General features: G+C 39.7%; 1 protein-coding gene across 14 annotated transcripts in view, besides 1 other annotated feature; it reads left to right on the forward strand.

Annotated features, from left to right (window-relative positions):
- The window catches only part of CRIM1 (cysteine rich transmembrane BMP regulator 1), a 195358-nt gene that overhangs the window by 148320 nt on the left and 23035 nt on the right, over window positions 1–24003 (forward strand). For 11 of the 14 annotated variants that reach the window (XR_007076383.1, XM_011532898.4, XM_011532899.4 and 8 more), the window contains 5 exons: window positions 5886–6042; window positions 8176–8297; window positions 9459–9668; window positions 13230–13445; window positions 17995–18216. Coding sequence is in view for 13 of the 14 variants with exons in the window: in XM_011532898.4 (XP_011531200.1) it covers window positions 5886–6042; window positions 8176–8297; window positions 9459–9668; window positions 13230–13445; window positions 17995–18216 (927 nt within the window). In the remaining variant the exon portion in view is untranslated. The remainder of the gene's footprint in view (window positions 1–5885; window positions 6043–8175; window positions 8298–9458; window positions 9669–13229; window positions 13446–17994; window positions 18217–24003) is intronic. The other 3 variants (XM_011532901.4, XM_047444642.1, XM_047444644.1) reach the window with 1 other exon arrangement.
- Window positions 3296–3840: an enhancer, noted in NCBI's record as "OCT4-NANOG hESC enhancer chr2:36734536-36735080 (GRCh37/hg19 assembly coordinates)". NCBI's record gives its function as "activates a minimal SCP1, AML or CMV promoter by ChIP-STARR-seq in primed H9 embryonic stem cells {active_cell/tissue: H9 hESC(primed)}" and the evidence as "EXISTENCE:reporter gene assay evidence [ECO:0000049][PMID:30033119]".

The raw sequence follows: 24003 nt of genomic DNA on the forward strand, positions 1-24003 counted from the left end.
TCCTGGCGTCAAGCAATCTGCCCGACTCGATCTCCTAAAGTGCTGAGATTACAGGTGTGAGGCACCGTACCTGGCCCTTCAAGATTTCTTAAAACAAGGCCAGCACCCCACAAGTATTTCTTCTGTCTTCGTTGATTTGTTGTTCTTCATTCACTCATTATTTTATTCATCTAGCATTTGTTGAGTGCCTACTATATCCTAAAGAAGATTAAAAATAGTCCTTACCCTTGACTCACATTGGTAATTTGTTGGTAATATTAGTCATATGTTAATATGTTGTAAAGAGACAACATAATCTAGCATATTTTAGGCAGTCACATTAGGATTGAAATCAAAACCCTATAGAAACATGTGCTTCAAAAGTATGTGGCAAGTATATGATACAGAATTCTTTCATTTGAACATAACGTAATTTGCCGTTTTAATCGGTAACAAATAACATTCTTGTAACACTAAGAAAAGTAGTACTCCAGGACATACAGAAAGTTTACATTATCCCTGACTCAGTTCCTCAAAAACTTGTTTAGAATAAAAAATGTTTTTAAAAGTATGATAGCAACAAAGTTTAAAACTAAAATGATTTTAAAATGATATAAAGCAACTAGTAACCTAACACTTTGTAGATACAAGCTTTTAACAACATTGCTCTTTAACCAGTGTCTTTTGCTAATAGACGTAATATACCTGCTTACTACATAAACTCTGTATGAAAGGCATCTGCATGAATTAAGTAGCATCAGTCTTTTGGCATCTTAGTGTACACATCTTTAAATCAAGTGGATTTGATCAGATTATTTGTAAGTTCTCTTCCAATTTTAACATTCTTTAATTGTAGACATTAATAGTGCTTTTTCTAGAAACTGATGCAGACTTGTAGAATTCTGCATCAGTCAGCAGAGAGGAAAGAGCCTTCATATTTTTCATGAAATATGTATCTGAATCAAACATCACAAGAAGGTTGCAGCATCAAATATAGGGAGGCAGGCTCCTTGTTTTATTTCACTGTAATTCTAAACTAACACCTATCAGGGTCAAAATTGGGACCACCATTTGTAATGTTGCATTTCTTTACTTAGTAGTCTTGGGAACTTCATGGCCATCCTGAACTGATAATAGGTTTGTAGGAATTGCCAGCATCTAAGAGTTTAAAATACACTAAGTCCTCACTTAACATCCTCTGTAGATTCTTGGAAACTATGACTTTACGTGAAATGACATGTAACAAAACCAGTTTTACCAGAGGCTAATTGATATAAACAAGAGTTAAGTTCCTACCATATATTTCTGGTCACGAAAACATCACCAAACTTCTAAATAAAGACCTAAAACATTTCTAATAGTAACAATTAAAGTAAGCATGAGTTATATATACATTTAAGAAAGGTTAACAAAAAACAAGTACAATGATGATTCCCCATTTTTAATGAATCAGTGAGTGATAGTGGTTGTAGTGGTGCTGTGTTGAATGACATGTAACAAAACCAGTTTTACCAGAGGCTAATTGATATAAACAAGAGTTAAGTTCCTACCATATATTTCTGGTCACGAAAACATCACCAAACTTCTAAATAAAGACCTAAAACATTTCTAATAGTAACAATTAAAGTAAGCATGAGTTATATATACATTTAAGAAAGGTTAACAAAAAACAAGTACAATGATGATTCCCCATTTTTAATGAATCAGTGAGTGATAGTGGTTGTAGTGGTGCTGTGTTGAATCAACGAATAAATGTTTGCAAAGCAAACATTGTAAGGAGCACCTCCTTCTGCCATGCAGTTCAAACACATACCATACCCAGTGTGGCAGGCTCACTGAACGCTGTTGTCCTGCAGTGTTTATTGTTGTACGTTTGTGTGATTATCACCTGCTTTAACAGATTTGTATTTTATAAGAATTTGTATTTATTCACTCATTTATTTTCCAACTTGCTTATTCCAGTCCAGGGTTGAGGGTGGCCACAGCCCATCCCAGCAGCTCTGCAAGCTGCAAGGTAGGAATCGACCTTGAACAGGACACCATCCCATTGCAGGGTGCACACACACACACACACACACACACTCTCTCTCTCTCTCTCTCTCTCTCACACACACACACACACACACACACACACACACACTCAGATTAGGACCATGTAGATACCCCAGTTCACCTAACGTGCACATCTTTGGGATGTGAGAGTACCCAGAGAAAACCCACACAGCATGAGAGAACATGCAGTCTCCACACAGAGAGTGGCCCCAACCGAGAACTGGTTTTTATTCCCCTCCTAAAAGTTATGACACAATGATGTTGAACAAAACCATTGCTGTTTGAGGACCTGCTGTACTACAGCAAAGAAGTATGCAGTACTCCTCTAGGGGACACCATCCACAGTGTGTTCTCCATGGAGGTTACGTTGTATTTATATATAATGAATGGCGCCCCCGACAGCTGTGTCACGTTTTGAGCATAGGAGCAAACATTCCTATTTTTCCAGAATGAACAGAGTTTTACTACATAGTTGCTATCGACCGGCCATGCTGTACAGGCCCTGTACTTTGCCATTGTTCATCACTTTCTCTTCAATCGTAACTTCTCCCCATGTATTAGAAAGCAATTTTAGATCACGGTAAAGTCATGACGCTGAAAAATTAGGAACATAAAGCCACCTTTTTCTGCGTGGTTGCCTCAAGTGATGTACTAAAGCTTTACAAACAAACATATAAACCCCTACCCTTCTATGAATACTGTTTTTCTACTCTTTATTTATGTTTTTATTTATTTATTTTTTTTTTAGACACAGGTTCTCACCCTGTCACCCAGGCTGGTGTGCAGTGGTGCAGTCACAGCTCTCACTGCAGCCTCGACCTCCTGGGTTCAAGTAATCCTCTTGCCTCAGCCTCCCAAGTAGCTGGGATTACATTCACTCACCACCACACCCAGCTAATGTTTTATTTTCTGGCAGAGGCAAGGTCTCACTATGTTGCACAGGCTGGTCTCAAACTCTTGGCCTCAAGCAATTCTCCCACCTCAGCTTCCCAAAGTGCTGGGATTACAGGTTCCAGCCAGCCGCAGTCAGTCTCCTCTTTATTTAAATGTTTGCTATGATGATGCATTTCTCTTAAGAAAACTTCATAATTGACATATGTGGATTTAGGACTACCTTCCAGTTTTTAATGTTGTCTATTTCTGAACTAGAAGATGGTATTTTGAGATGTTTTGGCAAGTGCTAGTATTTCAGGAAAATTTCAATGTTATCAGAGTAAGTTATTTTCATGCTGTCATTTCTCTGATAATATAGCAGTCTTGATGACAGTGGAGGAGTAGGTAACAAGAACATTGATTGATGCATTTAGTTAGCAAATGTTGTTGAATACCCACTCTGTACCAAATACCATGGTTGTCCCTATACAGTGTGTGCCTAAAGATACTAGGGCCTGGGCCTAGAGCTCCCTCTATTGGGAAGCTGAATGTAGATGGGCCAGAGCATAACATGCAGGAGAATGGTCCCAATTCAGGGCAGCACTAGAGCATCCCACTCCTAGGAGGCATAGCCAGTCTCCTTCTAATGAATGTCCTGTATTTTTATTTAAATGTACCAGCCTTTGTTTGAAATTCCATTCCATTGCAAAGCAGAGGTAGATTACAGACTAGTTTTTATCACATTGTTTAAACTTGAATGGAGACACAACAGTTTTCTTTAAAGGTGAAGCACATTCAAGATCAAGGTCTGTGGAAAAACTCCTTCTTTATTGCAGGACCAGAAAAATAAAGGCACCAAGGTGCTCAGGCTCCAAAATTGCAGGGAATTTAATCCCAAGGGATGTTGACTGACTCTGGGAGGTTTTCAGGGTGTTTTTAATTCATCTGTTTCCCAACATAATTCATTTGTAGCCATGACCTAAGCATTCTTGTGACAGAAAAATGGGTTCACAATTGACATCTGTGTTAGAGAAACATGACTAATAAAGTCTTCTTTTTTCACCATTCCCTTAATAATGGGGAATGAAAAATTATGACCTTTCAAGTCATATAATTACAAATTTCTAAATGAACCATTTAGAATTTCTCTTTTAAGGATGCAAATTAGTAATCAGTTGCTTTACAGTGTAATACAGGCACATGAGGTTATATTTATATGTGTAATAAAAGGTTTATGATAATGACAGAGTAGAAAATTACACCATAAATCACATTTTCCTTCTTAAAAGATAGCAAATTAAATATGCAAATATTGCCAACTGAGATTCACAAAAGATGCTATCTTGAAATATTTATGTAAAACACGGACCCATTTCACCTATTCATTGTAGTTAAGTTTTAATTTTAGATTATAATATAAGTGTGTTTTGAGGGGACAGATGCGTTCTGTTTTTCCCAGTGACTTCTGTGTTATTACAATATTCATGCTTAAAGGACGGCCAGATAAAATAAAAATTTGTTCATCATTCCAATAATTAGACTCTGCTTCCCATTTCACCAGTCCATGTAGAACAATATTCAAACATTGCTGTACTTTGGCCATCACCATATTAACTTCCCTTCTTTAAATTTGATTGTCTTTCAAATTCTATATTTAATTCACACAGGTCTCAACTTGCTTGCTTTATATAATTAAGCATGCTTTTTTTCTTTTTAACCTTAAACATTTCTATTTCCCTTTTCTCTCGTAAGCCCTATATAACCTTTTAAAATCATTTTAGAAGACTTCTATTAGGCTAATAACTTCAGTAATGTTGCTAGTCACCATTGCTACTTTCCTTTTTGCTCTTCTAAAATAGTATTGTAACTGACTAGCAGAGGACAGTTAAACATCACTCCAGATTCTGCTAACGGGATACTTTGAACACTTCAAATAGTGGTTACTTAAACCTTAATATGAGTATTTTTTCAACACACACATTTTTTAGCCTGTGAACTAAAAAGCCTATTATGTAAGTATATCCAAATACAGGGGTATTTGTCAGCACATAGAGAAAAAACATATCTAAATGTAACACTGAATATTTTAATTACTATCATTTTGTAAAAGATGTACTTTTTTGAAAGTAATAGTAAGAAATCCCTTATGCTGCATACAATATGCAGTATTATATGATAGCATCTAACACCCATAAAAGTAGTTGTCATGTGGATATTTAAAAACATGCGTTATGGGATGGGCGCAGTGACTCACACCTGTAACCCCAGCACTTGGGAAGCTGACACTGGCGGATCACTTGAGGTCAGGAGTTCAAGAAGAACCTGGCAACATTTAGTAGAGAAGGCGAAACCGCATCTCTACTAAAAATACAAAAATTAGCTGGGCGTGGTGGTGCATGCCTGTAATCACAGATGCTTGGGAGGCTGAGGTGGGAGAATCACTTGAACCCAGGAGACAGAAGTTGCAGTGAGCCGAAATCACGCCACTGTACTCCAGTCTAAATGACAGAGCGAGAGATTCTGTCTCCAACAAAAGAAAAAAGGACATGCATTATTATGGACATGCAATAGAAATAAAACATATAATGAAAATTGGACTGTAAATTTCTAATTCCCACATAATGTAAATGGTCATCAGTGGTTTGAAGTGATTTATAAAGTTCATGGAAAAATGATCTCAGTCATTAATTGTAATAGTTATCAGCCTGCTGTTCACTCAGAGCCTACCAGATTTGAGTACACTTTAGAAATCTATGCATTTCAAAGTTGGACTTTATTTTGTTTATTATTACCAAAACATGGAGTCATGTGATAACCATGAAATAGCACAGTCTATGCTTTTTAATGATAACCAGTGCCATGGTAGAGCTGAGAAATTGAGATCTGTGGAAGAGTGGAGGATTCAGGGACCGTATTTCAGCATCGAAGTGTTCTGCTCTGTTCATCTTTGGAAGAAACATGCCGTCTCTGTGTCTTCACAGCCGAGGAACTATGTTCAGAACGTAAACAAGGCTGCACCTTGAACTGTCCCTTCGGTTTCCTTACTGATGCCCAAAACTGTGAGATCTGTGAGTGCCGCCCAAGGCCCAAGAAGTGCAGACCCATAATCTGTGACAAGTATTGTCCACTTGGATTGCTGTACGTATTTGTTAATTCAGAAAAGCTATTATGAAGTGCAACTTGGTGAAATGTTTCTACACATTTTGTTTTATATGTTGTTTGTGAATTAATCTATGGTATATTGAGCCCAGAATGTCTATACTTGTTTTGTTAGGTGATTCAGAAAGCAGGGAGAAGGTTGTATCTCCAAAAAAAAAGAATCAAGTTTTACTTTTACTTTTTATGGACATGGGCCAGACACACCCTTTGTGCCTGTTATATGAGACTTTCCCATAGCAGAGTCCTTTAGACACTGCTGGCAAGATTAGGAGATGGAATTGTGAGGTCCCAGTGTTGGAAGTGCTACAACTCTTCACACCTGTCCCAAGGTCTATTTGTGATCATTTATTTAACACATACTTTAAGATCAATTGAAGACCGACCCCCCACTCACTTGAAATACAGTGCATCCTTAGCTGCCATGCCTAGGTGTCTCACCTTGGAACTAGTCAGCGTTTCGTATTTTTTTCTTTATCTAGCGTTAGATTTTTATGAATTTTCTTGGAGCTAAGGGCCATTACTTTTATTTTTTAATATACTTTATTGAGTCAAACCCCATGAGAATCTAGATTATTCCAGGGGGGGAAATAGACACTTCATATTTGTTTCTTTCGTGTCTGTATAAGCACCTATATTTGCCTTTATATCAGGTTGATGCCTTTAGAAAAATCACCTTAATTTATATTTTTCCCTTTGCTGTCTTTCTTTCATTTCAATCTGTCTTTCCAATTTGATATGTTTATGTAGTGCTAGATTCCTTTTCTTTTTTTTTTTTTTTTTTTTCAGGCAGGGTAGTGCTCTGCCACCCAGGCCGTAGTGCAGTGGCACAAGCATGGCTCACTGCAGCCTCAACCTCCCAGGCTGTCAGTCCTCCCACCTCAGCCTCAGCCTCAGCCTCAGCCTCCCGAGTAGCTGGGACTAGAGGCATGCGCCACCATGCCCAACTAATTTTTGTATTTTTTGGAGAGATGGGGTTTCACCATGTTTCCCAGGCTGATCTGGAACTCCTGGCTCAAGCGATCAGCCTACCTTGGCCTTCCAAAGTGCTGGGATTACAGGCATGAGCCACTGTGCCTGGCCTAGTGCTAGTAATTATAAGGGACTTAGACCTATCATCTCTTTCCCATCTTCTGTCAGTCATCTTTTTCATTCTTCATTTAAAAATTCTAGGTTTGGGAGGGGTCGTCTTTATAATTTTCATTGGATAATTAAATTGGAAACATTGTTCCGTAAAATTCCCCAAATAAAATAATGAATCATCATCATTCTTAATCCTAAAATAAGAATATGATGTCAATAAGAGTATTATGTCTTAGCCTAACTGCTCATATAAAATGAAGTAGTTGTATCACAATAGTAGGTAGCTTCAACCACTTGCTACAGTATCATGACAGTTCAGAATCAAGGCTGTGTTCAAATCCAACCGTCATGTTGGAGAAAAATCTCTTAGGAGATTGTAGATTTCACTTTGTATTCCTGTCAGCACATTCAGGGAGGACCCAGTTGGACACCTTGGACAACTGAATATTATACTGGCTAGAACACATGTGTTAAGGACACACACCAAAAGAGAATTCTTGGCCAGACACCACGTGGGAGTGTCAGGATGAAGGCAGCAGTTGGTGCCCCTTTTATGTACCTGCTGACTAAAGAATTACTTTCTGCATGCAGCAGATACTTCCAGAAGGGAGGGAGGGAGGGAGGGACGGATGGATCGTAGGTGGGTGGGTGGGTGGATGGATGGAGAAACAAATGAGTACACAGATAAACCAACAAAATCTCCTTCACTTTCCTATTCATGGAGTTGCACATTCATCTTTTTATTGTGGTGTACCACTCTCCCTAATTAAATCAACAGTCATGTCATTGAGATTCTGAGAGCCACATCCTAGAAGCACGTAAGTGCTTGGGCAACTCTCTGCCTTGGTCATGAGTAAGTGGTGGTAATGGCCACAGGGAGCTAATTACCCATCACTCCAGGAATCTTTGAGAGCAAAAGTCAAGTCATTCTGTTTAATAGCAATATCACTTTATTGACCCTTGGTCTGAGTGCTTGGGCATCATTTGAGACTTTGTGATTTTCTGACCTCTGACAAAATTTTAATTACCCAGGAAGAATAAGCACGGCTGTGACATCTGTCGCTGTAAGAAATGTCCAGAGCTCTCATGCAGTAAGATCTGCCCCTTGGGTTTCCAGCAGGACAGTCACGGCTGTCTTATCTGCAAGTGCAGAGGTAAGTGTGTACACATGGCCCTTCCCCCTCAAAGCAGCCAGGGGCACCGAAACAAGGAACATAAGGACACCCTGTAATGAAATGGTTTCGGTGGTTGCTGCCTATTCTAACACAAATGTCAGTCTCTGTGGGACCGTCCCACAGGACTCCCTTTTCCTTTCATTTTTATGAAGTAAAAGCTCAGAATAGAATGTAAAGTAAGTATATGATGGACAAGCACATTGACTAAATTAATCACTTCCTAGCTCTTTTTACTTCTATCAGGAACTTTAGCCTAAAGCACAATTATCTGAACCTCTATAGAGCTTCTCTCTGTTCAGGAGTAAGATTAATAAAACTGCAACAGTAAATAGCCCCATTTCAAAGTTCTAGAGGGTGGGTATAGCTCAGAAGTTAGCTGCTGTATTTCCAGATAACAGTTTTCCATGAGAATTTAGCCTTTGGCTGAATAAGCACATGCCAGCCCACAGCTGTGAATAAGCACAGAGCCTGGATATCCCTGCTGCCTGAGGCTTCTCCAGGGAGCTTCCTGAAGCCACTGAGCATGCACCCTGACCGCCGTTTCTGCCTTTACCCCAGCTCCAGCCCTGCTGCCTATCCCTTTTTATGTTGTACTTGTCAGCATGATGCACAGATTAAACTATAAAAGATTCCTAAACTTTGTTTTACGATTTTTCAAAACTGGACAGTTACCACCTTAATGGTGTTTCTAAGGGGTTGGAGTAAACAAAAATCTAGTCACTGCTTTAATTGTTCTGCTGAACAAAACTCTGTTATTTGCAAGGGGCCCAGGATGTCCCCATTGGATGAAGCTTCTAGAGCGATTTTTCTGAATACATTCAACATATTTGTAAAATTTGTTATAAAATCAGTGCTTGTTTATTGTATAAAATATGAGAAAGTACAGTGGAAGGAATAAAAAATCAGCGATCATCCCACGAATTGGAGAGAAACTATTTGCCGGTTTTTTTCTCTCTTTTCTTTTTTCAAGATTGAGAACATACTGACTTAAATTCTTTTCATGAACATGTCCCATGTCACAAACTGTCCTGTGTTAGACGTAATTGTTGGTGGCTGGGGTCCAGTCCATGTACAGACTCTGTAGCCTGTTTCTCCTGTGCAGTAGCCACTTCTTTACCAGGCTGCCTTTTGTCTGTCCAGAGGCCTCTGCTTCAGCTGGGCCACCCATCCTGTCGGGCACTTGTCTCACCGTGGATGGTCATCATCATAAAAATGAGGAGAGCTGGCACGATGGGTGCCGGGAATGCTACTGTCTCAATGGACGGGAAATGTGTGCCCTGATCACCTGCCCGGTGCCTGCCTGTGGCAACCCCACCATTCACCCTGGACAGTGCTGCCCATCATGTGCAGGTAAAAGCTGGCTGCCATCTGTGTGCTCCATAAGCAAATGACTTCTGCCTTGCAGGGCCCTAGACACATTTGTAACTCTGGGGAGGTTGGAGGGGACAACCCCTGGAACACTTTTCAGCACTGTGTGGTTTTTGTCAACCACCACCACAGAATCATCCAGGCACTATCAGTGAAGAACCAAAGACCAGAGAAAATTCTATCATTGTAGAAATGGCTCTCCTCCTTTTTGAATGATTGACTCAGTTATGTAAGGTCTTTGGACTACATTTTTGTAAAGGTTTGTGGGCTGATGTTCTTACATTCCAGCTCTCCATTTTATTGATAGCATATTAAGTCTGAATGTCCTCATTAATATGAGGGGATTGGTACTAGTTTTATCCCATAAAACCTTATCACATTTAAAGTAATGTTTGAGAGGGAGAAACTTTTTGAAGTCTGTGGCTATTGCTCTTTTTTAAATTAATAGACATGTGGCACTCTTGCCAAATGGAGAGATTTAGAGTGACCACACGTCCAAAACATTTAAAATCATAATCATGGTAATCAGGATAAGTTACTAGAAAACCAGAACAGATTTGTAATTCAAGGGAGTCTGAATTATGATTGTCAATAACAGTAATTATAACCATAAACTTCATCTAGTACGTTTTATCCAAAGAGCTCAACACAGTCTTATATCTATTATTTCCCTCTCTGTGCAGGCCACTTTGAGTTAGGGAAAAACACATTGAGGCAGTTTCTCATTTGGAAAACAGACACAGAAAGATTGACTGTCTTACCAAGAGTAAAATAGTATGTCCACCAAAAGGCCTGGGAGAAATGAAGTCTCTCAAATCTTGTATCAGATTTCTTTCAAAGTTAAGTCTACTGTCAGATTTTGGAGGATGATTGTTTTTCCTCTGGTCAGTCCAGGTCCTGTATCTCCCTGTGCGTGAGTCCACCTGTGCAAAAGGTGTAGCCGGGAGCCTGAGGCCTGGTCCTTGTGCAACAAGACTAGCCTGGGAGGGAAACTGACCTTGTTCGCCATGGTTGGGGAGCAGGGGAGAGGGACACTTGAAGTCCCTTTCAGCTCTGAGATTCTGCACAGCTCAATAGCTACAGTATCAGAGTGACAGGCAGCTCCCATACCTTGTAGAAAACGAGATTACAATGCAGAAGAGATGACTCTTTTTATTTTGTTTTGTTTCCCTGTAGTTCAGTTAGAGGTGCTCCATGTCAGAACTCTTTCCTTTTTTCCGATATTTTGCTAGTTAAGTGTGAAAAACTGCTAGAGTCCCCTGCATAAGAAGGTAAATGAGGACTTTAATATGATAGAACTCTGTGTTGACTCTTTGGGGAGGGAAAAATCATGTGTTTGCATGAAGACCCCTGCTTTAATTATAGGTGTGAATGCATAGAGGAGGGATTTGTACCTGGGTCTTTGCTAAACATGTCCTCAATGAAGAATTCTAACAGCTAGATTGGTAGAAATGCAAAGACATTAAGAATGGATAATTGACCTGAGAACTGAAAATCAGTAGAACCAGAAAGATCTTTCTCTATTACAGAGTCATGGAAAGTTCTTACGTAAGCACACGTGAAGTTGTTGTTGATACCTTACTGTGGGTGTGTCAACATCTGGATATACGTGTATGAAAACACATTTCTGTAGATGGATGTGTAGAGGTAAATGTTTTCTGCAAATCTTTAGCATGTTGCCACATAAGCCTCCTTCTGATTAGAGACTCCAGAGCTGTTGCATTCACGGACTCCTACTTTAAAGAATATTTTTCTCCCCTCTTCATTCCAAGATCAGCTGTTTTTCTTCTTGGGATACATGAGTATCTCCCGAACTCTTCTAATGAATATTTACTAAATGATAGTGTCTCTCAGATTTTCTGTCTTCCATACACTCTACATTTGAGTTTCTCTTTTGTCTCCATGTCTCTGGCCCCTCTTGTGTTTTGCCTTGAGGCATATCGTACGGCAAAAAGGTGAGCCAGAAAGCATACCTGCAAACACGCACGTCAGATTTCTTCTGACCACTTCCGTACATGTCAGCATTTAACAAGGCAGTAATTGTCAGTCCTCTCTAAGCCCTTTTTGAAAGCAATAAGGGAGGCTTTTGCTATATTCATTTATCGATACTCTTTGGGACTTTTTGTTTCTCTGTAAACCACAGATGCACATTTACCATCTTGTTCAGCACAGTTTTCATTGTAATTCTCTTCCTCTCTCTTGTTCTTATACTGGAAAGTTGGTTACAGTTGCTTGTGAATGTAAGCATTGATTGATGAGTATCAGTTTTCTGTGATACTGTCCCTGGGTCTAAGTTCCAGCCTTTTGTAATTCCCTTGAGATAAAGCTGTATTAGAAGTTGTTACCCTCTTAACTGGAAATCAGCCCACATCACTTAATTTCATTAGTATTGTTGACTCTCATGCTAACCACCACTTTGAAAGTCATAGCCCCAATTCACTCCTAAGAAGATTTCAGCTCTGAGCATCTCTGCATATATGGGCCCATTCTGGGGCGTGACTTCCACTGAGCTCCAAGCATGAGCTAGCCGTGATGTCTCCAGACTCTTTCTCGGCGGGATTCAACACTGTCAACACATTCCTGAAGTGCTTGTTGCATTTGGATTACGTGACTATGGTTAATGTCTTCATACTTCTCATTTCCCCAGCAAAACTTCAGGGCAACTCCCAGCCCCTCTTCAGACATTTTCAACATTAAATTCCCTCTCTATCAGTGTCATCTCTCCAAGAGACCAAAACTACCTCTCCTCTGGGGAAAGAAATGATAGTTTTCACCAGCCTGCCAGCATTTACCTCTCTTCATGATGATATTGCCAAGCACATGTTTAGTCTCAGGTGAGGGTTTTCAGACTGTTGATTCTACAGGAGCATTCCTGCTCAGTTTGCTGGCAGCTGGCTTAGATTGGGGTGTGGCCTGCTCGACAGCAGGACATATTTCCAAGCATAAAAGTACTCAGGATCCCAGAAATAATAAAGCAGATAGGGCATCGATCATTTGGAAGTTTTATTTAATCTGGAGACATATCCATGATCCAAACAACCATAGACTTGGGTTGCAGTTTCCCTCGTCTCTCCCTGAGCTCTCAGTTTCCTCATGCATAAAATAAGGTGACTGTAAGGAATAAATGAAATAACACATGTGAAGTGCTTAGCATGGAAATAACTGAACCGTACCAAGTATTCTGTAAATGAGAGATCTGAATCCGAGACAGTTCCTACACATTCACAGAAATGCCAGAAGAGGCCCCTGTTCTCATCTCTAGAGTGGGAGTCCCCTCCCTGTAATTTAATGATCTTATTGAATTCTCTTATTACTGTTGACAGACTTAAACCACTTGAACCTCACGTCCTAATATTAGCTCTTTTGCCATTGTCTTCTGTTTCCATGCATGGAATATTTTCTTCACTATTCTCTTAATAAGAATAGAGCGAGATGCTCTTCACAGTTCATCTCTTCTATCCCTTAAAGCAAACAGCACCAGGCTTTCAAGAGTTGGAAAGATTGCAGATGAATAATGTGTTCTGATTTTGTGTCATTTCCCAGATGACTTTGTGGTGCAGAAGCCAGAGCTCAGTACTCCCTCCATTTGCCACGCCCCTGGAGGAGAATACTTTGTGGAAGGAGAAACGTGGAACATTGACTCCTGTACTCAGTGCACCTGCCACAGCGGACGGGTGCTGTGTGAGACAGAGGTGTGCCCACCGCTGCTCTGCCAGAACCCCTCACGCACCCAGGATTCCTGCTGCCCACAGTGTACAGGTAAGCGACACCATGCCTTGTGGGTGCTTGGTGGGGAAGGATGCAGCTCTGGGTGTTGTCATTCTGTGGGACCCACAGGGCAGGATCAGCCCCATATGGGAGTGTGCCAAACCCAGTATCCCATCAGGAACAGCTGGCAGCCTGCTTCCTGCATGTATTCTCTTTATCAACCACCTATTTATGCAGTCAGCATGCCTCACACCTGAGATGACTGTGAAACAAAAAAGGAGACTGTTGCTCTTGCCAATTTTTTTCCTTAACCCTGCATCTCAAACTCGAGGCGTATACCTAAGTAGAGAAAGTCCCACCGCACCAAATTAACCAAACGATTCTGTTACTGTGAAAAGTCATCTTTATGTAACAAATGAGAAGAATAGTTATTTATAAATAATGTAAACAAAATTCTTTGTAAATAAAATTCTTTGAAATATAAGGGTGGCGAAGAGACTTTGAAATATGCATAATGCCACCCCCTCCAAGTTGGGATGATTAGTAAGTTAATGCCAAAAAGCATTAAGTGACTAGCACTGCACATGTATAAGGAGTGCTATTATTTTCTACTTTTTATTTCTCAGATAATCTGACCTTAGCAGGTAAATGTATGGCCATGAAACTTGTTAGAAGGAAATTTGTCAAGATGTTAATCATAAGTTACTGGTTTTATATAACTTTAGTAGTACTTTTAATTAATACTAGATGTGACTTTTTCAAAAGATATTTAAATATAAAATTATCAAGTTGACAGGACTAGTTTTGTTTTGTTGTTGTTGCTTCTTATTCCCATATTTCAACTTAAATCAATAACCATTTACTTTCTAAACATATTCTTAGAGCATTTCTGCTCAGCAAAACATAAACCCTTGTATTTTATTACTTCTTTTTTTTAACATTGGATTATCTAGTCAGCTGGCCAGAATCTGTTGTTCCGTCATTATGTGCAGCATCATCAGTGTCTAAATTTTTTATAAGTTTATGTTGATGGCATTTTTGGAATTGATCAGATGAACTTATAGGGATAGCCACATTACTGGCTGTTGTCATCATGCACGGCAGCCCAAGTATTACCATTTTAGTACAGAACTGTTAATCTGAGAAGCTTAATTAGCACTACAGCTTTTCTAGTATAAGAAATAGTTCATATGTGTTACATTTTTAGGATATGCATGACCTATGATTTCCTAATTTGTTGTCATCACAATTCACTCAGATTCAAACCCTACTGATGTTTTTTGTTAATATATAGCAGTGACTTTACTTACATCACCTTGGTAGAAACTACTTAGAGTGATCTTTTCCTTGGTGATAATGAATTTATGTACTTTTAGCTATTTAGTTTACAAATATTTGTAGAATGCCTGAATTGAACTATGGGGATTCCAAGGTTAATGAAAACAGACATGATTCCTGTCCTGGAGCAATAGCCGAAAAGCCAAACAATCCAATATTCCACGTTAAGTCAATAATGATAAAGTAAGAGGTGTGCCTTGAAAGGGAGGATTCAAGAACATAGGCAATCCGGGAAACTAAAGCAGCAAATACCCCTGGTGCTATTTGTGTTAGGATCTGAGTGATGAACTTAGGGATTAACTAAGGGAGTGGCACTGGGGGAGGAAATGCCTCCAGGACCACTAGCTGAAATTCATTGATGGGACACCTTACTGAACTCAGAGGTTCCACCCATAAAGAGAAGGAGAGCTATGTGGAGGTGGGAACCTCTGAGTATGCTAACATGGGTGGCATGTGCAGAGGCCCATGGGTTCTAGCCAAGCAAGGCAGTGGTAGTCCTGCATTCCTTTCCATCTTTCCAAAGAACAGGCAACCCCTCATGTGCCTGGCTTTGACTTCTCATTCATTAACTTAGGCCTGGATTTTTTTCTTTACCTCTAACTAAAGGATGTTTCTGGACTTTTTCATTCATCGTTGTATTGAGATACAAAAAAATAAAAAGCCTTAAAACTCAAATTATCAGTTTCTTCCCATCACAGTAATTCTCAACAGTGGCATTGATAAGTGGCATATTACACATGTAGAAAAATATCATCTCTAATCTTAGGACACTTGCATTCTAAAATGGCCCAAAAGTCATAGCTCCACAGTGGGATAACAGCTTCCAAAGGGTCGAATCCCTCATGATGCTTCCATCTGTAGGGTGCCTTGTCATTTCCTCTCTTCAGCTTTCCCTCTTCTCTGGCCTGGTTTAAAGCAAGGTCTGGTGAGGAAATGAGGAAAGATTGCACATCACTGCAAGTGAAGCTACTTCACCAGCATACAAAAGGGAGAGGGTAAAATAGCACTTGTTTCTTTCCATAAGTTTAAAATTTTCTTTCCTTTATTTTTAGAGTTGGAAAAAAGCATGGCAGAGAAGAGCGAGGGAGGTAGAAAATAGAAAAAAGGAAACACTGAAAACAGTGAAAACACTGGTAAAGATCAAATAAAGGAGTAAACGTTTGGAAACAGAAGTGTAAAGAAAAGGGTCTAGAGCAGGAAAAATGAGAAAAGAGGCCCAAAGAAGGGAGATGCTGTGGGTAAGATTCCAAATGACATTGTCGGTCAGGGTTGGGCCAGGAGCCTCCTGCCTGGTGGAAGGAAACCTGCAGACTCTACCTCGGCTCCAGCCCTCACACCGTCACTGCCAGCGTATCCTGATGTCCTCTGGGTTATTTCCAGGCCTCAGTGAGAGCCCTGCAGATTCCAGGCTGTTCGTTTCACTGTCATTCCATAGCTTCAGCACGGCTGTCCCTTCTTCTTCTTTTCAGTTTTTAGACAGAGGTTGGGCAATGCTTGCATGAGCTAAGTTAACGTAAGTCACAAAAACCTCATGGAGATTTGCAGGGCCTAGTGTGAACAAGAGGGTGTTGTCCTTATTTCTAGCCAAAGCAAAAGTTAGCACTGGTCAGTCTCTTAGAGAAGAAATTATCCCTCGACGTAGATAACCACGAAAAGGTCATTGAGAAAGTCATCCCATCTTACTATCTCTAACCTATGTGGGTGGGATCTGTGGAATCATATCTGTAATAGGACCTAGAGTACCATGGAGCCGTGGAACCAATGGCTGTTCTTCAACTTATGCCTGCTGCCTTTGGGACTAGTCATAGGAGATACAGTTACTCAGTTTAAAGGAGAGGGTATGGGCCAATCCCATTATGCTGGCTTTCCTGTCCCTCAGAGAAGGTCCACAATGAAGTAACTGCCTTGGTCCTCAAAAAGGCCCTTCTTGTCACATCCTGCTTACTGGCTGTGGGGTATATTCATGAGGTGGATAGAAGGAAAAAGTGGCATGTAGAGCTTCTGGATCATATGGCAACTACATGTCTCAGTTGTTTCTGGTTCTTGACTAAAAATAACAGAGCTCATGAAGTTGGTTCTGGGAAGAACATACGACAACTCTTTTGATTGTGTATGCATTGAGAAAATGTGGCCCTCTTAGAGCTTTGCTAGGTAGGGCTGTCGTGGCTGTGTCTAGACTCTTGAGTGGTGAAGTTGATTAGAAGTGCTCTCTTATCAGTTGGACTATGACATTTCTAAACTGGAAACGCACCCACTTACATTTTCCTTTCTGATATCTCAATCATATTGCTGCTTGAAGTTACAATTTTCATTGATTTTAGTGGAAACCGATGCCCAAAGTGCTATCTGGATTTTCTGGTGACATTTTCTGTTGCAAGTTGTAACTAGATCTGGGGACTTCCAGGTCTCAGTCTTTAGATAGCAAAGACACAGATGATTTGCACATGATTTCTCTGTGGTTGCATCCTTATGAGTGATTTAGATTTCTTATCTTTCAGTCATTAATGTGAATTCCTGAACATTGGAATGTTGCATTTAGGTGGTTTTTGGTAGTCTGGTACAATGAGAATTTGTCTGAATATTGATTGGTCAAAATTGCATGTGGCCACAAGTAAGAGAAAATCCAGCTACAATTTGTAAGTAAATAGAGGTCTATTTTACATATATGACAAGACATTTGGAGGCAGATGTTTATCAGCATTGATTCAGTGGCTCAGTGGGGTCAAGGCCTTTCTCTTCTGATAGGGGTGTCACAGCCGTGATCAACGCACTCCTATCAAGGCAGGAATAATGTGGAAGGATGATGGCAGAACATATCTACCCTTCTTTGAAGAAAGTGAAAGCTTTCCCAGAAATCCCTTCGTTAGCCATTAGGTCCCATTAGCTACGGCTAGATGATGGGGCCACCCTAGTTTCAAGGGAGCCTAGGAAAGCAGGGAACAGAATTGTCCCATTTACTTACATGCATTGTAATCCAAGTCCTGGGACTTCCCCAAAGAAAACCAGGATTTCATTAAGGAAGAAAGAGCGGATGTTATATAAACAACTAACAGAATAACTGTAACATCTCTTTTTTGATCTTTGTTATTTTGTTTAAAAATTTAAGACCCTTCCCGAATCATACTTTCTGATTTGTTACTGCGTCATGTATTTAAGGAGGCACCGAAAGCCATCATGACTGGGTGTGCTTTGAAACACACTATGTTGCATAGTTGCTGGCCAACAGCATCTTCTTTGCTGACCTATATGTTCATTTTTCCAGATCAACCTTTTCGGCCTTCCTTGTCCCGCAATAACAGCGTACCTAATTACTGCAAAAATGATGAAGGGGATATATTCCTGGCAGCTGAGTCCTGGAAGCCTGACGTTTGTACCAGCTGCATCTGCATTGATAGCGTAATTAGCTGTTTCTCTGAGTCCTGCCCTTCTGTATCCTGTGAAAGACCTGTCTTGAGAAAAGGCCAGTGTTGTCCCTACTGCATAGGTAAGACCAAGGAAAAAAAAATCCCTCATCTCTACCAGTTGTCACTAAATCTGTATTGACAGCCATTTGCTAGATCAATTAATATTTTTGAAACTGGTTTTTTCCCTGCTTGACATGTCACACAGACCCAGTGTAGCAACACTGAGCAGAAGAAAGATATGGAAGATGTACTCCCAAGAGGAGGTGCTGTAAGAATAAATAAATGAGGCCAGGAGTGGTGGCTCACGCCTGCAATCCCAGCACTTTGGGAGGCCGAGGCAGACGGATCACTTGAGGTCAGGAGTTCAAGACCAGCCTGGCCAACATGATGAAACCCCGTCTCTACCAAAAATACAGAAATTAGCTGTGTGTGGTGGCACACACCTGTAATCCCAGCTACTCCGGAGGCTGAGGCAGGAGAATCACTTGAACACGGGAGGCGGAGGTTACAGTGAGCCAAGATTGTGCCACTGCACTCCAGCCTGGGTGACAGAGCAAGACTCCATCTCAAAAAAAAAAAAAAGAAGAAGAAGAAGAAGGAGAAAGAAATGTTCTCTGAGAATGTCATACTGTTACAGCACTGTCGTGTTCTATCGGGGTCCTTGGCCAGTTCAGGGTTTTCAATTTCAGAACTCTGTTTCTCCAGCCTATTTTTTACAGTGGTTTTTTTTTTCTTTTTTTAGACAGATTCTCACTCTGTCACCCAGGCTGGAGTGCAGTGGTGCAATCTCAGCTTGCTGCAACCTCCGCCTCCTGGGTTCAAGTAATTCTCCTGCCTCAGCCTCCCTAGTAGCTGGAATTACAGGTGCCTGCCACCTCGCCTAGCTAATTTTTGTATTTTAGTAGAGATGGGGACAGTGGTGTTTTTTTCCAGATAGAAACACCAAGTCTCATATTAGAGCCCACTTAGTGTATAAAGCTTGCTGCTGCCTTGAGATCAACTAAATATGAAATATTAATTTAATCTCCCAGTTGTTCCTGTCTTCTGGCACTTAATGGATTCTGTTTCAACCACGTGGTTGTCCCTGTCAGTGGCCTAGGCACACAGAGTGAGGCCTGAGTAACTCTAGAGCCCTCACCTTCTTGTGACCCGTGGTGGTGATGCATCTTTGTGAGCAGAGGATCTATGTATATTAGCACCTAACATCTGGAGCAAAACTAGTCCTATGGACATAAGCCAGATGCTGTTCCGAGGTCCAAAAGGTGAGACAGCTGGCAGTTCTATCAAGGACAGCCCGTGTTCCCTGGGCTTTCACCCTCTTTTAACGCTTTTGTGTCCAGTAAAGCTCAAAGTCAAATGAAAGACAATGACACGTCTTAATCAGATAGTGCACCTATAATCAGAGTAGCAGATGAAAAAGTTTACAGTCTGTACTAATTGCACATTTATTGTTGGGGATTTTCCATGTTTTCTAAACACAAGTCATTGCATATATCTGGAGTGATAGATGGGGAATAAAGGAGATCTGGCTACACAGTTTTGTGGCATTTCTGATAGATAAGCTGAGGAATGGTGGCCATAACTCAAGCTCATGAGGACATCTCCCTGTCCTTGTCTTGTGACTTCTGGCCACTAGACAGGGCCACTCTGAGTCTTTTACTCTGCGTGTTGGTATATGAGATGGAAATGCCTGTTCTTAGGAATTTTACACAGATTTTCTTACTGTAATGGTCAAAGAGTAATAAAAGTTCTGTTTTAAAAGCTAGATGGCCAAAGAGTAATAAAAGTTCTGTTTTAAAAGCTAGATTCTCTCTTTTAATAGGGTTACCATCCATATAATTTATTCTTCAAACCACGATGCTTTTGAGAGTGAAAAGGGGGCTGTTAATAATTCTGATGGGACAATAGTCATACATAGATCAGGAGTGTCCCAAGCAAACTGGATATGTGGTAGCCCTGCATTTTAGCACCGGCTTCTCTGTACTCTACCCCTAAGCTTTCTAGCTCCTAAGTGGAGCGAAAAATGTATCAAGGCATATATCCAATTTAGTGCTACTTACCTTTTCAAAGAGCTGACCAAAATTCACGCAACAAAATGACACTGCCTTTGGTGAGATCTAAATGAAAGCTATAACTAAGCTATTCTTTCAGGCTGGGTAAGGGGAAAGTATAGCCAATATCCCCATAGTTATATATCAAAACTTTTTTTTTTAACTTTTTAAGTTCAGAGGTACAAGTGCAGTAAAGCTTTAATACTAAAGGAAATAGTTCACAAGTCAACCAGGGATACTTATGTCATACTTGGGAAACCAGGGCCCAGGAGGTCTGAGAATTGCATGTTACCTTCAGAGGAAAAATCTAACAGCAGATCTCTCGTGTGTTGAAAATTCTCAGATTGTTTTGTGTAAATTTATTGTTGTTTTGCTACTTAATTGTTAAATTTGTAATTAGTAAATTATTCGACTAGTAAATTTGTTTTCATGTGATAGTAGATAATCATCTCTCACAAAACCAATTTAACAAATTCAAAATTATGAAGAGAAACCTGCAAATCGTAGTATTCTGTAGTCTTTCTTTTTATTTTTTATTTTTTTGCCTTCATACTTTCTATTCCAATTCCTGCATCTAGATTATACATTCTTCATTGGTGTAGAAAAAAAGGACCAGTTTGGCTCAAATTTGTGATTTTGATTTTAAGTTGGACTGCAGCACTTTTGCTAAATTGTGGTTCATATGAGCTCGTAATGGTATAGTGGACATTTTGATTCTGATCTGTCTCCCTCCACAACTTCCCTCCCCCTCCCAAACTGATGCACGTATAATTTTATCATATAAACCCATGACTTAGCTTCAGGGGACCATGTTGGGAAGACTTAACATTTGATGAACTGTAACCGTGTACCTTATTCACTCGTTCATCTTAATAATTTATATGTGTTGTATTATTGAAATAGTCATTAAGCCCTCTTCTGTCTGCATCATATTTACTTTGCAAGTAGCGTTGTTAGATAGGCCTTCATCCTTTCTTATCTAGCCCTGCTATATCTAAACATACGAAGTCAAGTTCATGACTATGATATAGGGATTTCCTGTCTGACTCTCCGGTTTGCGTTTGGGCTTGTTCTCTTATCAACTAAGAAGTCCTGACTTCCAGTCAGCTTGGTCCCTATATAAGGGTGCCAAGCCTGGCCAGCACAAGCACACCCAAAGGCAGTTGCCAGCTGTGCTTCATTGGCAGAGCCTTTATCACCATCCAGAGGTCACTGAGCAAAGGAAAAACATGGAAACACACCATCAGGCGGCATGTCTTAAAGCACCCAATTGTTTTTCCAGTGGGCACCAAAGACCAGTGCTCGCATTGTTTCCTGGTTTAGGCTTTCTCAGTTTTAACTCAGATTATCATCTATTCTCAGGATCTTGTGTATCTCACTGTTAGAATGTACAGACTATCTCACCCCAGCCCACAGTGCTGACCTCACCTTGGCTGTAGGGCTCTTCCATGGATGAATGTTCTCCCTAATTAGTCAAATACAGATCTCTAAAAACCTCAAACTCACAATTAAGGGACCTCTTTTATTAGTGGTCAAAAAAAAAGTATGCATGTGAAGTATCCTTTTTTCCTACTGTAAGAAAAATGAAAAGTGGTGATTCTACCAAAAATAGTTTTCTGATTACAAGTATTTGTGTTCCTTGTGTCAAATTGTCAAGTCACTAATGAGCAATGATAATGCTTCTCTTTTGATGTTCGAGGGCCTCATATTATGTGTGCTAATTTAATAGGATATGTAATATAGACATAATTAATAGGATTGATGATTAATTTTGAAAAGTGAACAGCTTTGTCTAGTTTCTTATAATATCCATCATTAGGGAATTCATTGTTCTACTAGAAAGAAACTAAGTAGTAATTACCCATTCACTTTAATGGAACATCTTCTGATTCCCTAATTTTTTTTTGTACTCTGGTTTTCTAAGTAAATACATTCAAACTTAGATTTTATTTTCATAAGCTGACTATAATGAAGGGTTAAAGGATGAAGAACAAGAATCAAAAGTTGACAAGTATGACGCAGGTGGAGATAAAAGGTCTGGTGGGAATTCTGATGGGTGAAAAGAGATTTCATATGTGGTTCCTTGTAAACAGCAAATGCCTCTGTTATGACCTACTTAGCCATGCAAGAGTGTACTCGTTTCTAAAGCATCCCATGGCCATTTCACTGATGACATGCTACATGCCTTTCTCAAACCTTGCCAGAGCAAAAATTATTTCAGTGCTTTCAGTGAAGTCTTTATTTCATGACTTCAAGGAGGATAGCAGAGAAGTAAATTAGCAGCCCTCATACCACACCACTCATATGCCTGTGGGGATACTCATATCCCCATATGAGCCCTGACCACATCAACCTTGCTCTAATGTTCGTGTTGGTGATGCTTCTGCCCATACTGAGTGCCAGACTCTGGCAGCTTCTGGAGGGGGGACCGTGAGTCTTTCAGTGGATCCTCCCTGTGTCCAGGGGTCAGTCATTCCTGGTCAGATATTAAAAAGAAAAAGTACTACTTTGATCGTAACGTCTATCTTAGGTTAATTTCCAGGATTTTCAAGCCCACTTCATTGCTGCATCATACCTGTTGACTTTGGAAGTCAAGATGCTCAGGTATGTCCCCCAGTTAAGCCACTCTAGGTGATCAGGACTGACGTTGAATAAATAGCTCATGTGTTGGCTAAGTCTTAAGTGTTAGTATGTAGAACATTGTTTTGAAAATTATGACTTGGCAAGTATTTGTTAGTAACTACGTGTTATTTTAGAAGATATTTCAAGGTCAGATTTTTAAAGTCATTTGTTGGCTAGAAATTCTTGAGTCAGTGTATCTTTCTCACTTCAGAAATTGTGGATGATTGTTTGTGTTTATTATATATAATATAAATATTTACTTATACATTATATAAAATAAATACAAGTATATATGTGGCTCATAACTTCCATGTGAACTAAGTTAAAATGTTCTGATTACATGCCTTCTAATCAGCGAGTATCATTGAAGTGTTTTTAAGTGTCATATATCTTTAAGGATCTGTGAAAATGAGTTCTATTATAGGTAGATGGTACACTAAAAATTTCTTACAGGTTGTATTAATACCTCTGTTTGATTAGAAGTTAGCTATTTTTATATTTATATATTTACTAATATTCGAAGTGGGACTTTGCCATGGAGCTGGCTTAGCTTGTGTTGTGACTGTATTTCTTCTCAACTGGCTGTGATACTGTCACTGTATAGTGATCTTCTCCATAGTGATCTTCAACTCGCAAATGATTAAATAATACTTAACCTTAATAGGGAAATGTCTATACCTTATATCAAGTCAATACATTATTCCTTTTGCTTAGATTTCTGTTTATTTAAACATAACTCTACTAAACTGGTATCTTAGAGATATATAGCATCTCTTTGGAACATCTGTTGGTCATTGTGTATTTAATTCAGCCCAAGAATCAATTATAGTAAATATTTAATTCAGGCATCTTTAAGCTATACAACCCATGAAACTTAATGTTACGCATTTCGAAACCATAATGATATGATGGTGCCCACCTTCATTGGAACATTTTTCACCGCTGCTTCTCCAGTGTATTTTCTTAAAATTAAAAGCTTCTGCACATTGGAAAGAGAACTTCCCTTGGAGCCAGAGCATTATAATCACAGCTCTGTCACATTCTAGCTTTATGTCTCGGTGATATGATGTAACCCTAGTTCAGTTTCCTCATCTATAAGATGGCAATAATAATATTGTCCTGTGCTTCACAAAAGTGCCAAGAATATTAAATGACATAATGTACATATGCAAAAATACTTTATAAACAGTAAAC

This window comes from Homo sapiens, chromosome 2 (assembly GCF_000001405.40).
Source record: "Homo sapiens chromosome 2, GRCh38.p14 Primary Assembly".
NCBI lineage: Eukaryota > Metazoa > Chordata > Mammalia > Primates > Hominidae > Homo > Homo sapiens.